The sequence below is a fragment of the Homo sapiens genome, chromosome 15, assembly GCF_000001405.40.
Source record: "Homo sapiens chromosome 15, GRCh38.p14 Primary Assembly".
Lineage (NCBI taxonomy): Eukaryota > Metazoa > Chordata > Mammalia > Primates > Hominidae > Homo > Homo sapiens.
This window is the reverse complement of record NC_000015.10, coordinates 85,574,146-85,588,983: the sequence shown is the minus strand read 5'-3', so window position 1 is coordinate 85,588,983 and position 14,838 is coordinate 85,574,146. Positions and strand designations below refer to the sequence as shown.

Here is a 14,838-nt window from a genome sequence, read left to right as displayed (position 1 = left end):
ATATGCTTTCCCCAACTCTACACGGTGGAAGCAAACACAAAGCATAAGGCATTGATATCTCGCAGCTAGAGATAAATTACATGGTTCTCAGGCTTCTTATAGCAACTTTACCAATCAGAGCCCAGGTTTCTTGAGTCAAGGAGGAATCGCCCTGTTGTGTAAGTCCCAGATTAGAAATCAAACCTCAAACTCTTCCAGCTGCCTTTGGCCTCAAGCTAGTCATGTGACTCTCCAAGGGTCTATTCTTTTATCTGTAAATTGAGGTATGCTGACCAACCAGAGGAATATTCACTCTCTCAACTCTTAAAACTAGAGAAAAAAGGAGAAGAGGAAAGGGACTGAGAGAGGAGACCTTTTCTTTTCTTTAAGTCATGTTTTGTTTTCTTCTTTATAGTAGACAAGATACCATTAGAATAGAGATATCCCTCATCAGAAAGCAAAGGGTCTAGAGCCAAGTACCAGCCTGGATTCAATGACTCTAATCACTACAATATTAAAATGGAGTACTAAGAAACAGAGGTATTTGAATTCAAGGATGTGAGTTTTTTCCTTCCCTTTCTAAGGGGCTTCTGGAAACAAAGACACACGTACCCATGCAGGGTGTGTTCTCTTTTCTTCTCACAGGGGTAAAAGCAACATTTGTCTGAATAATGCCTGCTTTACAAGTAGCCACCCAGGCATTAGTCATGAATATTATGTGTAATAAGGGCGGGTTAGAACAGTCAGCACCTTCATACCACAGTACTCCAATACAACAAGGTTTGTTCATCACTGTTCATACTCTTGAAACAATCTGGGATAGTCTGTTCCATTTACCTACCGTGAAATTTCAAAAAAACATACCACTTAGTCCTCTGAAGAGTAAAAACAGTGCAATGTCAAGTGTAGCCCAAGGAACATGGACTTTCAAAGGGGCAGCATGAGTAAGTTCACTAACTTGATTTTCAGCTTTCTAATTTTTTTTTTTTGACCACCATGGAATCTAAAGCATAGGGCACTGTTTCTCTCAACAAGTTTGTTTTAAAAGTTAATAGCTGGCTGGGTGCACAGGCTCACGCCTGTACTTCCAGCACTTTGGGAGGCCAAGGCGGGTGGATCACTTGAAATAAGAAGTTTGAGACCAGCCTGGCCAATATGGCAAAACCCCATCTCTACTAAAAACACAAAAAAGTAGCCGGGCGTGGTGACGAGTCCCTGTAATCCCAGCTACTCGGGAGGCTGAGACAAGAGAATCGCTTCAACCCAGGAGGTGGAGGTTGCAATGAGCCAAGATCCTGCCATTGTACTCCAGCCTGGGTGACAGTAAGACTTCATCTCAAAAAAATAAAAAATAAAATAAAATAAAAGTTAATAGCTTTAAACAAAGAAAAATAATCTCAAGACCTTGAAGAAAAATATTTTTGAAGCCAAATAAATGGAAATTACCATATGACCCAGCAACTCCACTAGGTATATAAAAACATGTCCACATAATTTTGTACACAAATGTACATAACAGCATTATTCACAGTAGCCAAAAAGTGGAAACAATCCAAATCCACAAAAAAATGTGGTATATCTATACAACGGAACAGTATTTGACAATAAAAAGAAATAAAATACTGATCAATGCCACAACATGGATGAAACTTGAAAATATTACGCTAAGTGAAAGAAGCCAGAGACAAAAGATCACATATTGTGTTATACCATTTACATGAAGTTCTGGAATGGGCAGTTTACGTACTATCTACAGCCACTTTCACACTCTCACAGCAAATCTCTCTATGGATTTACAGAAAGCAAAAGTAGATTAATGAGCTGGGGGAGGGAAGAGTGAAGGAAAGGCACACTGCTAATGGGTCTGGGGTTTCTTCTTAGAGTGATAATGTTCTGAAATTAGAGCCTTAGTGGCGATGGTTGCAGAACTCTGTAAATCTATTTAAAACCAATGACCTATGCACTTTATTTGATTGGGTGGATTTTATGGTATGTGAATCATATCCCAAAACAAACTATTCTTAAAACAAAAAAAAAATGTTGATTGAACCTTTTATTCTCTTATTTTTTTTTTTTTGAGAAGGTGTCGTGCTCTGTCGCCCAGGCTACAGTGCTATGGCACAATCTTGGCTCACTGCATCCTCCGCCTCCCAGGTTCAAATGATTCTCATGCCTCAGCCTTCCAAGTAGCTGGGATTACAGGCACCTGCCACCACGCCCGGCTAATTTTTTTGTATTTTTAGTAAAAACAGGGTTTCACCATGTTGGTCGGGCTGATCTTGAACTTCCGACCTCAGGTAATCCACCCACCTCAGCCTCCCAAAGTGCTGGGATTACATGTGTGAGCCACCGCGTCTGGCCTATTGAACCTGTTTTTTCATTGCTGAAAACGATATACTTCATAATTTAGACAGTTACTATTGAGCTATAAAGTAAAAATCTCATTTTGGCTATCAGTTTTTATATAAAGAAAGAAGAGTCAGGTTTAAGAAGGGTTTATAGGCCGAGTGCCATGACTCACATCTGTAATCCCAGCACTTTGGGAGGCTGAGGCAGGTGGATCACTTGAGGCCAGTTCGAAAACAGCCTGGCCAACATGGCAAAACCCCATCTCCACAAAAAGTACAAAAATTAGTCAGTCATGGTGGCGCATGCCTGTAATTTCAGCTACTCACAGCTGAAATTAGGCAGGAGGCGAAGGCAGGAGAATCGCTTTCACCCAGGAAGCAGAGGTTGCAGTGAGCTGAAATCACACCACTGCACTCCAGCCTGGGTGACAAGAGCAAAACTCCATCTCAAAAAAAAAAAAGAAAAAGAAAAAGAAGGAAAGAAAAAAAGAAAGAAAAGGTCTATAGATCCCCTTTTGTGATAGCTCAGATTTTGTGACAATTTAAGCTTACTGACAAATCTTAAAGCCTTGTGCTCAAGGGGAAAATGTTTTTCAGCATAATCTATAAGAAAACATGTAACAGCCCATTCCAAAACTTTGCTGTATGGTATATACCATTTATGAAAGCTTAGCTGCAGCAACATAAACACATTTATATAACAGCACAAGAGGGAAGGGGGAAAATACTATTTTGCCCACTTACCCTCAAATAAAAGACAAAGCCATAAATAAGACACAGCAGAACAGGATAAACACATTTTGTGCCCTTATAGACTTACTGATGCCACTTACCGCCTGGGTCATTGGGCCTTGCTTCATCTTCAGTGTAGCAGCTATGCTCCCTACAGCCACTTCTTCAGAAATTGAACTTGCTCTAAAATCCACTTCATCTTCAGCTTTCACGTCTGGCATTTCTGAAAGTGCAGGGGGGTTACAGAGTACATTTTTAAAAACTGATTCCTGTGCCTTACTATTCATACAACATGCTCCAGGTTTCATGTGTTTTGTTTTGCTTTTGCGTTAAAATGGAAAAGTATTCTTTTGTTGTCAGCGGCTAGTGTCATTTCTGACCCTATGCTGAGCTATTCCTTTATCGCATGGTTACTGGTTTTCCCTAGCCTTTGTAGGCGCTTGGAACTAAGCGAGGATCCAATTCAATGTCTTTTGAACATCCATTTCACTATTGACTTTTTATGACAAATCTGAGTGTAGCACCAACTTGCATATGGAAAACTAAATTCATAAGCTTCAGGGGAACAGATTAATAGCTGAAGCTAGGTAGTCCATCTTGGCCATCATCAAAAAAGCAAGGATTTGTACAAAACAAAAAGGAAAAAGCCACTGAGAATGAGAAAAAGCCTCTGGGACAAGTATGACTTTCACTAACATACAACACACTCTGATCCACCCATCACTGTAACCAGTAAGAATGAACTACTCAGCAGTTACGTCTTATTTTTAACCCTTATTTCTTCCAAAACTGAAACCTAATCACAGACTAGCTATCCCTTTCTTAAGAGAAACGTTTCTGCGCATGTTTTCTCAAGAATTACATAGTTGTCCTCTTGCTGGCCATGTTGACAGACCAAAAACAGTGGTGGTTTTTGTTACCTGACCACCACATGGTCAAGCAAATACAGGAAGGAAATGATAAATGATGTCTGAGGCAAATTTAGGCTTCTGACACTTCTTTAAACGGGACTCATGATTGAACAGTCAAAATTCACCTTAATAATCCAAATGCAAATGGAACTGTCATCTCGATTTCATGTGGAAATGCATCTGTGGTTATTAACCTAGTGATGCCACTACTCTGGCAAGAAAAATGCTCCCCACACTAAAGAGCACAGAAGTTTCTTTCACCAAAGAATAAATTATATTAAGATTTTATTCTAGGAGCACATGACATGTACAAAAGTCTACCTTAAATTTGTAAGAGTTACATTTCTATAGATGAACCTCTTTTCTTCCTTCTTTGACCTTATAATTATATAATCTTACCAGCAGTTTAAAAATGGGTAAACAAGTTTCCTTGCCCAAAGAACCAAAATCTGTGTTAAATTTCATAAAATGTTATTAAAGTTAAAATCTGACTAAGCAATCCCCTTAGAACTATCCCTTGATCAAAACATCTCTAAGTGAGTCAGAGTAATTTCTGGGGGGAAAGAGGGTTGCTTTCCTCTGGGGATGTGATTTTTGGTACCTCCTTCCTTTCCTATACCTATCAACTTTGAAAAGATGCATCTTGGCACAGCAACCAGTCACACTAGAAAACAGTGATTACTCACACTTGACGGGTGTCGGCAGCCTCTGCAGGACTGGCGTGGCTCAGTCATGCATCACTGATTTCCTAAGCACTGTGGTCAATGCTTTTGGTGGGTCAAGGGCCACATCCCCTTCTTTCAAACTGGCTCCTTCCAAATCAGCAGTTAAACCTATGTCTTCTCACTCACAAAACAGTATGATTAAATCTATGAGTAGAATGTAAACTTGATAGAAAATACCCTTTGGCTCTGAGATCACACTCAGGTGCTTTTTCTCTAAAGTAATGTGACCAGGGATTTTCCCAATCCTGGCCATTTTCTGAAGAAAGTACCAATTTCTTCATGACTGGCTACTTTCTCTGTAGTCTGAGACCATCAATACAGAGTTCCTCTGCAGTTTGAGACCATGAGTATGACTCCTTTTGGTAACAGGACAAGTAACTCACCTACACAAAATTTACCAACCTCAAGCCCATATATACTGCTGAAAGTCCATACATTTTTCTTCCTTCTCAAAACCTCAAAATCCTAAACATCCGTCATTTCTCACCATCTTTACTATATGTGCTAATAAAAATCAAAGTCTGAAATTCTCCCTGGTTTTTACTTTTTCTCATAGGATACTACAGACACAATCCCCACAGAGTTCACACTTGCTTGAGTCAAATTCTGACCACTGAGCCAGAAAGAGAAATAATTCCGGCCCATGTGGCCAAGGACGCAGCACCGAAATGAAAAGAACATCACCAGGCATCAGCTTACAGCCACTCCCATTCTTCTGAAATGCCAACCTGCCAGGGCCCCCAAAATAGACTTGTTGTTGTGGCTTTTTTTAAAAATTAGAGACCTCATTTAAATCCTGAGACAACAGCCAGCAAGTATCTATCACTAACAATCCAAAACATTAATAAAACTAAAAAGCTAAAGTCATCAAAAATTCTACCTCGGATTCCTTAAATCCCTCAACTGGGGAGGAAAAAGATTATAAACGGCTAAAAGCCCTTTACCAGGGAAAATAACCACTGTATTTAAATTGCGCTTCTTCCAAAGCAACTTCTTTTGCTCCATTGATTCATTTCTCTCCATAACCCTCCCCCACATTCTTAATACATATGTGTAAAGGGATTTTCAAAAATTGAAAAGAACAGCAAAAATAAACAATAAAGACAAAACAGGCTGCTTCTTACCTACAAAAGCCTAGGGGCAAGCATGGAGATAGGTCTTCTGTCTACAGCTGGTAACAGGTGGTGGTATAGAAGTGTGCATCAAACTGACCTTTAAAGACTTCAGGAGCCAAGATCGTGTCCGACTCCCGTTTCAGCTTCAGCCTCAACCCCCGTTAAGAAGTTTTATTCAGATAGTTTATTTCCACGGAGCAATAGCGGTTTCTCTTTGCTGCCTCGGAACATGGTTACCCACAGATGGAACAGGCTGCTGTGTGAGCAATCTGCTCAGTGCAGCTGCTTCACCAAGATAAAGCAGACACAAGGTCTGCCCTGTGACAGCAGCTCAGCAGACTGGGCTTGGGCGGAAATCCTGCATCCTATCCCCTGCACTGTGCAGGGTCTTGAATTCTCAGACTGCTGCCCAAAAGCAACAGGCAATGGAACTAGAGGTCCACTCCCCAAGCAGGAAAAGGAAGGAGTTCCCCGTCAACAACACCCCTAGCCCAAAAAAAACAAAAACAAACAAACAAAAAACCACCAATGACCTAATACCACCATTTTGGATGTTGGGAAGTCAGCTCAGAACAATACTTACAGCTGTTCATGAAACCACTCTGACTCTAAATTTGCTCAGAATACAGACTAGGATGATAGGGGAGGAAGGGAGTTTCAGGCTTGTAGATAAAACACAGCTTTTTGGCACTGTTTTCTATGGTACTAGAGAAAAGGATTAAGCCATGTGAATAAAAACATCTGCTAAATTCTTTCACCACTTTAGAGTACCTGTGATCTAGGCATTGTTTTCTAGGTTTGCAAAGTTGCAACCACTCCAGAATGAGACAGGAGTGTTTATAAGCTTAAGCAACCAAGCAGTAAGTCTACAATACAGGAAGCAAAATCTGTCCAACCCTGAGATGACGTGCCCCTCCTGATGGTGGTGACTATTAACTTGGCTACCTACCCAATGAGTGCAAGGCCTCAAAACAACAAAGATGCCTATATTTTTACCAGGACACCACAGTGACTCTTAAGGGAATCTGCTTCTCAGACTGTTAATTTTGTATTATGTTTTGCTTACCTGCTGCTGGCTCAGGCCCCTGGACAGGTAAAATGATCTTCTCTGGCTCCTCCCTTCCAGCAAAACATCCTGCAAGGCTCCCCGTGGCTTCCTCAGGAGTACTGCCCATTGGTAGGCTCTCCCCAGGTGGGAAAGTACTCACTTTTTCTGTAAAAGCACTCTCTAGTCCTTTAGTGAGAGGACCCAACTCAGGGCTGGACAGTGACATGTGACAGGCCTCCCCCTCAGTAAGCAGTGCTCCAGCGGCCTTGACTTGTTCGATGACAGCATCCACTATACGGCTGGCAGCCTCCTCTATCAAGTCTGCCCCCTTAGGCAGAGGTGCGTCCTGGGCAGAGACCATGCAAGGTAGAGAGGGAGTGCTCCTTTCCCTGCCTGAAGGCGGGGCTCGCATGACTTCCCTCACACCAGCTGGGGCCCCATCATCATGGGCTGAGAGCTCCATGTCTGTGGGGAGCTCCTTGGCAACAGGCTGCAGTAGGACAGGATGTGCTTCATCGTCTATTTGGGCTTCCTCAGCGTCACCCATGGTACAGCTGTGGTCTGCTCCCTCCAGCTTCCCTTTCTCCCAATCAAGAGGTATCATCTCTGGGGTTCCAACTCCCTGTGGGTCAGTCACAGCTTTGTCCTGTAGAGCCACTGGCAAACCTAGAACGGCATTCTTCTCTTGGCTCAACAAGACGTTTGGAATCAGGATGTCTTGGGTGTTGTGTGATATATTCTCTCTTCTGGGCTCAGCCATACCTTGTAGAGCATTAACCCCTGTAACATCCACCGTCACATCTCCACTCACCTCACAGGCACTAGTTTTTCCCTGGGATTGAGTGTTCTTCACTCCAACATCCAGAGGAGAAGGCTGACTGCAGTTAAGAGCATCGGACCCATCAGACCCATCTGGCAACAGACATGGCAACAGAGCGGAGCTGTTGTGCTCTGCCCCCAAGGCTTCCTGCCTTGACTCTGTGGCCAGACTTGCTCCTGGTGGCACCAGGCTCTGGGCAGCCCCACCTTGAGTCAGCAGTGAGACTTGTGGGGCCACTTCCTTGTTATGTTCAGTTTCTGCCTTAAGAAAGGCAGAGGATGCACCCGGTGAATTACTTAGCTGAAGTGCTTTGTCCTTGGCACAGTCAGCTGAGATTGATTTTTCATGAAATTGTTGAGTATCTTGTCCAGGAGGTGGTGTTCTCTGCTCTTCCTGCAAAGTTCCTGAAGAGAGAGCATTTTCCTTAATAGAGGAACAGGTCACCGCTTTATCCTTATCTTGTTCCTGAGCTGCAGAGCTTTCTGAAACCACCAGAAGTTTTCCTTCTTCAGTCAAAACTGAATCTAAAGCCAAAGTGGCCTTACCCACACTTTGCAGGGAAGAGTCAGTGTTCCCCTTGATATTCAGAGCTTCTGGGATTGCTGGAGGGGCGGGACCCTCATGCTCTCCACCAAGTCCTGTGAGACTGGTATTCCCCATCCCGTGCTGAAGCTCTGCAGCAGTGGAGGATGTGGACAGGCCTACTGCCCTGTCTTCTAGTGGCCGCGTATCAGGCTCATTCGAATTTCCATCTGGGCCATCTCTATAATCTGTAGCTGTATGTAGTTCAGGAGTTGCTGTTCCCTTTTCTTTCTGGGAGGGGACAAAAGAAAGTGCGTCATCCTTGGTTACTGATTCACTGCCTGGACTGTTTGCCAGAGAGAAAGTACTGTCTGATATTACTGCCTGGTCTGGCACCAGTTCTTTCTCCATTTTAGGGACAACTGGATGTGGATGTGAAACCACCTCAAGCATATTTGTTAAAGGTTTATCTAGTTTCACATCTTTTCGTTGGCCTTTGTTATCCACCACTTTGAAAGGACAAAAATCCGCACGTTCCTGGGTATCCCTTACAGGGTCAGAGGTGACTGTATGAGCCTGTGGGTCTTCACAGTGGGAGGCATCGGGTGGATCTTGTGAGCTGGGTTGCCTTGCTGTGGTGCTTTCGGACTCGCTAACTATGTTATCACACAGTTTTGCAACCAAATCGCCACTAGAAGTCACTGTGTTCTGTTGACATGCAGAGTCTGCACAAAGTTTATCGTCTCCAGTTGTAGAACAAATGGGTGAGGATTTGCCCTTTTGGCTTTGAGCATGAGATGAATTTGTTTCTGAGTTCTGGTGTGGCATTACATCTTCTTCCAGCCCAAGAAGGGCTAAATCTGAGGGTGACATTGCCTCACCTATGCCTGCTGCTAAGAGAGTATAAGGTTCTAATCCATCTGAAATCTTGTCTTTTGCAGCAGCTGGAATCACCACAGAATTCTGATCTACTGGAGCATCAGCACTCTCCTCACGACTTCGTGAAGTTTCCGTTTCTGCTGTTTTTTCAGTGGAGGTTTCTTCATTACTAAATGCAAGTGAAGACTCAGCAGGTTTGTTACCATCCAGGGAACTGGCAGCAGGGGCACAGTTTGGAACACTGATTTTATCCACAGGCTTACTTGTGACGTGCACGTCAGAGGCTCCAGCTGTGCCAATATTAGAGTTCTCAAATCTTTCCTTTGTACTTTCCCCTCCCTGAAGCACATTCTTCCAAACAGTGGCATCTGGGTTCATGAGCCCATGTTCCATTTCCCCTGCAGTGTCTGGGGTACTGACATTTGTTGTTGAAATGCCTCCCAGTTCACCTCCAGAGGAATACTGGGCTGTGCCTGGCTCCATGACCAAGTCTCTCTGAAGCACAGCATCTCCACTGCTCAGGGACTCCTGGTCTGTGGGCATTCCAGAAGATTTTGTTCCAGTTTCTTCATTTCTGTTTCCACAGGACGAAAGGCCTTCCGTGCCCTTTACTCCACAATCAGGCAAGCTCTGAAGGCAGCTGTCTTGATCAGATACAGTTCCAGAGTCCACAATAGGTGCTGGCTCCACCTCTTCCCCTTTTCTTTCCACGCCTTTATTTTTCTTCCTACAGGAACGGTCTGTATTCTCCTCCTCAACTATGCTTGACAAATCACAGGGACTTTCAGTCTGTGCAACAGGGCTCCCTGGGCAGCACTGAGTGCTCTCAGTCTCTTCAGAAGAAGAAAGTCGCTGAGGGTCCGTGGGCTCCGGTGCACAGGGAAGAAACTGGCCATCTGTCTCTGGGGCACTGGAAGGATCCTGTGCTGTCATCATTAAGGGCATAAGACTGTCCATCTGCTTGAGGTTTGTTTTCTAGGAGGAAATGAAATACACTTTTAAAAAACTGCCTGTAGGAGAAGATGTCACTGACACCTCTGAGCAAAAATTCTGTTGGACAGAACTCACTTCTATTCTAGCTCTTCTAAGGTCACATGATAAGCGAATCTAAAAGAATACAAATAAATTTCCTCTTATTTCTGATATTACTTTCCTTTCATATCTGCCTATATACTGGGATGTTCAAAATAGATTAGGATATATGAAATATCTATTTTCTAAATTTTGAACTTATTTTAGGAAGTAGATGAAAACTGAGTCTCGCCGGGCATGGTGGCTCATGCCTGTAATCCCAGCACTTTGGGAGGCTGAGGCAGGCAGATCACCTGAGGTCAGGAGTTCGAGACCAGCCTCAACATGGAGAAACCCTGTCTCTACTAAAAATACAAAATTAGCTGGGCGTAGTGGTGCATGCCTGTAATCTCAGCTACTTGGGAGGCTGAGGCAGGAGAATTGCTTGTACCCGGGAGGCGGAGGTTGCAGTGAGCCGAGACAGCACCACTGCACTCCAGCCTGGGCAATAAGAGCAAAACTCCGTCTTAAAAAAAATAAAAATAAAAGAGTCTCAAAAACCTGATTTTTAAAAAGCTCAGTGAATATCTTCAATTGAGCTGCTAACATTAAGGTGGGCTCTCTCATTCTGAGGCCAGGCTGAAGTGCAGTGGTGTGATCACAGCTCACCGCAGCCTTGAACTCCTGGGCTCAAGTGACCCTGCCGCCTCAGCCTCTTCAGTAGCTAGGACTACAGGTGTGCACCATTGCACCTGACTAATTGTTTTATTTTTTGTAGAGACGGGGTCTCACTATGTTGCCCAGGCTGTTCTCCAACACCTGAGCCTATGGGATCCTCCTACCTTGGTCTCCCAAAGTGCTGGGATTATAGGGCCTACACCACTGTGTCCCACCTATATTTTTCATTGTCTTCAGAAGGGCAGAGTCTACTTACACCCTGCCTCATATATACAAGTAAAAACAAATCCTAGCTCTTTTCCATTACAAGGTGCAGCCAATGTGCCTGTGCCCTAAATACTTACTGAGTTCAGTGTCCTTTAATCCCCAAAATATGTTCCAACCAATCTAACTTAACCATCGAGTTATGGGGTCATAATTTCAGGAACAGTGGCATGGCAGATATTCTTTCACCTTTTGATAAAATCAGAACATATTAAATATAAAATAAATGAGAACATATACCTATATACTGTCAGAGTATATTATGGATACTATATGTAATCTCAAAAATGGATTTTGCAACTTTAAAGTATTTAAAAAATATAAACAGATATAACCAACAGCATGGGAATGATTAAGAAAATCAAGGTTCATAAAACTGATGGAAGAAATACTAGCCATTATTAACTATGAGGACCATATTGCAATTAGAAAAAAATTATTAATCTAAGTTTATAAATATGCAAAAATCCCATGTGCATGCAGCAAGGTTTAAAATGGAGAAAAACAAATACAGGTGATCTTTAGTGATTTTACCTTTATATCAAAATTTCAAAAATTCTTATAAAAATATTTTCTCAACACCTAAAATCTATTTTTCCAAACATCTGGTTTGCTCGCCATTCATTCATTACCTGATCTACTGCAATAATATGCATACCTACTGCCATCCATCCTCTCATTCACCTACTCACTCAGTGAATATATTGGGCACTTACAGGGTTCCATCATCAGACCATTCCTATCTACCTACTGAGCCTATTGTAAAAGTTTATATGTACAAGTGTAAAATGTGTCATGCTTGTTAAAGTCTTTCTAGTAGAGTGTACAAGCAAAATGGACTTTCACTAAAAGCTTCTGTGTTAGGCTCCTTAAGAGTATTCAAAATTAGCTTATTTCCAGTCCTGCTGAGAGTACGACAGTCTCCTAAAAATCAGGAAATGAAGTCATTAAATTTAATAAATGGTAAACATTATAAAACAGAAATCTGGCGAAACAAGTAGTGTTGCCTAAAGAAAGTAGCACATGTATGTTCCCACAGTTTTAATTTCTCGTATTTGCCTGCCAACCATTTCCATATCTTGGCAGGTAGCTTTGGTACCTGCAAAACTATATTTTCAAGTGAACTACCATTCACCTAGTAAAAAGAGCTCTAAGGAAAAACCTGATTGCCTAGAAGTCCATTCAGAGGAAAATGAAATGTCACGTGCTCTGGAACAAACACAATTCTAAAACACAAAAGTGGGAGCATCACATAACCCTATGGAATTTCTTGGCTTGCTGGTCTCAAATAATGCATGCTCCCAAAGAAGCCTCTGGCATTGAGCTGACCTTAAATGAAATTACTGTCCAGTGGTTTCCAAATCAAATCAGCTCTGAAATAAACTGGGTGGAAAAATTACCTAAACACAGCCTTTCAGATGTTATGCCCAAGAGAGATGTACACATATGACGTTTATGTTATTCGTAATAAATGCTAACAGGGAGTCTGTAATGTTTTTATGTCTGGCAACAACTTTATCTTGAAGACTTGAGTGGATTATAAAATCTTTTCTGTTTTTTTTAGCTATCTTTGTACCATACAACTATTGATTTAAATATAGTAACACTATATTTAAATGGTACATATCATCGCCACTAAAATAGTTGTAAAAATACTCCTGATTAAATTTGGTTCTTGTTCTTTGGCAACAATCTCAGAAACTGTTGGTTCTTTCATTTTGTAAAGTTAAGCCAAACACAGACAAATATCCTTTTATGCCAGAAATTTAGTTCTAGTTGTTGCATATTTCTGTACCTGAAATGTGTGTCTTCCATTATTCCCAAAACCAATGAAAAAAACCTCTCAGTCCCCCTACGGCTACAACCTTAATGCTAGCTCTGATCTGTAAGTGGTAACATTTAATACTGCTAATACTGCTTTACAGGTCTCAGAATCTTTGGGGAAAGTCCTTCTTTTTCTGTTTTTGAGACAAGGTCTTGCTCTGTCACCCCGGCAGGAGTGCAGTGGTGTCATCTCAGCTCACTGCAACCTCTGCCTCCCAGGCTCACATGATCTGCCTGCCTCAGACCCCCAAGTAGCTGGGACTATAGGCGTACGCCACCATGCCCAGCTAACTTCTGTAGAGCCAGAGTTTCTCCATGTTGCCCAGGCTGGTCTCAAACTCCTGAGCTCAAGTGATCCACCTGTGTTGGCCCTTCCAAAGTGCTGGGATTACAGGCATGAGCCACTGTGCCTGGCCAGGAAAGTTTTTTTTTTTTTGAGACGGAGTCTCGCTCTGTTGCCCAGGCTAGAGTGCAATGGCGTGATCTCGGCTCACTGCAAGCTCCGCCTCCTGGGTTCACGCCATTCTCCTGCCTCAGCCTTCCGAGTAGCTGGGACTACAGGCGCCCGCCACCAGGCCGGCCAATTTTTTGTATTTTTAGTAGAGACAGGGTTTCACCGTGTTAGCCAGGATGGTCTCCATCTCCTGACCTCGTGATCCGCCCGTCTCAGCCTCCCACCAGGAAAGCATTTTTATGTTCTAATTATATCAAGGTTCATTGGAGGAGGGCGGGGACACACACATACAAAACACACACATACACATGCATATACTTAAAAATAAAAGCTTTCTGACTTACCATTAGTTGCTGTTGGATGTTCATAAGTTTAAAAATTGGTCCAGTGCAACCGTCTCCAGGAAATGGGTGTTCATGATGTGAATCAGACTCAGAGGTTAATGTATAGATGTCCAACTCTCGATGATGCCTCACAGAACAGTCTCCATACGGTATTTCATAGGATAAACTGCTCCAGGAGTCTGGTTCTCCAGCATTCTCCCTACATGCAAGCATCTCTGGTTAATATATATACATTCTGCCTCCCAGGCATAGGCTTAACGTTCTAAGTCTTACTTCGTATTTCTAACCTGATTGTTCTTTGAGGTTCAACAGCAAAAATTAGTATATATACCTCCCAAATGATTCAGGCATATAACCAATAGCTCCATCCTCCTCACAAGAGATCACAAATGGGTTAAATGAAAACTGCAGGACTCCTAGCCCTAACAATGTTCTTTAGATCAAGATAAAGAGATATGTGGGATCTAATAATAGTTAATATTATGCTAACAACCAAGTAATGAGGAAGTGCAAGGAAGATGGTTTTAGCCTGATTTTCAACAAAATCAAGGCTTATTAAGAGGTGCTCTTAAAATAAATTAGACCATATGCTAACTACAGTCAATTATAATGGCAAGAGAAGAACCACTCACTCCAACCCTTACAAGGGCACTCCAACTTTTCTAACAATAGGTGCAGAAAACACCCTCAAGATTATTGAAGTCAATTACACAAAGAAAAACTGTTACAATGACATATTGTTCAACACTTGTCAATATAATTATCATATCCTATTTGGAATAAAGCACTTGGTTCCAAGAACTTAAAGTTAAAATTCGTAAAATTTAAAAAACAAGCAAGTTTGCTCAACTCATATCATTATAAACAAATATAACAACTTTCCACCATTATACGCCAACTGATTTGAACAAGGCAAGTGGGTTTCTCCTCTAAAGGCTACAGCACCTCCAATTCCACCCTTGCATCCAGAAGGCATACCCATGCCCGTAATGCCTGCTGTGATACCACACATAATCTGCACTGTGCTTTTTTGCAGCAGATGAAAGAATCTTGGGGCATACAATAAACAGGGATGAGGCACACAATCATACCCCACACAATCTCATATTATTAACTATTGTACTTGAGCACGCATTTCAAGTGTTAAGCACCCTCTTCTACATTCAGCACAAATGTAAATGTCT

At 42.3% G+C, this 14,838-nt stretch overlaps 1 protein-coding gene across 2 annotated transcripts in view, besides 2 other annotated features; it reads right to left on the bottom strand.

The window, feature by feature from the left end:
* The window catches only part of AKAP13 (A-kinase anchoring protein 13), a 368,756-nt gene that overhangs the window by 160,375 nt on the left and 193,543 nt on the right, over positions 1 to 14,838 (bottom strand). For both annotated transcript variants that reach the window (NM_007200.5, NM_006738.6), the window contains exons 6-8: positions 13,655 to 13,853; positions 6,877 to 10,054; positions 3,161 to 3,282 (exon numbers count right to left, since the gene is read on the bottom strand). In NM_007200.5, coding sequence (NP_009131.2) covers positions 3,161 to 3,282; positions 6,877 to 10,054; positions 13,655 to 13,853 — 3,499 coding nt within the window. The remainder of the gene's footprint in view (positions 1 to 3,160; positions 3,283 to 6,876; positions 10,055 to 13,654; positions 13,854 to 14,838) is intronic.
* Positions 7,312 to 7,606: a silencer, noted in NCBI's record as "tiled region #6632; HepG2 Repressive non-DNase unmatched - State 15:Elon, and K562 Repressive non-DNase unmatched - State 21:Repr". NCBI's record gives its function as "represses a minimal TATA promoter and a strong SV40 promoter by Sharpr-MPRA in K562 cells {active_cell/tissue: K562}" and the evidence as "EXISTENCE:reporter gene assay evidence [ECO:0000049][PMID:27701403]".
* Positions 8,409 to 8,548: an enhancer, noted in NCBI's record as "active region_10017". NCBI's record gives its function as "activates an Ori minimal core promoter by ATAC-STARR-seq in GM12878 lymphoblastoid cells {active_cell/tissue: GM12878}" and the evidence as "EXISTENCE:reporter gene assay evidence [ECO:0000049][PMID:35858748]".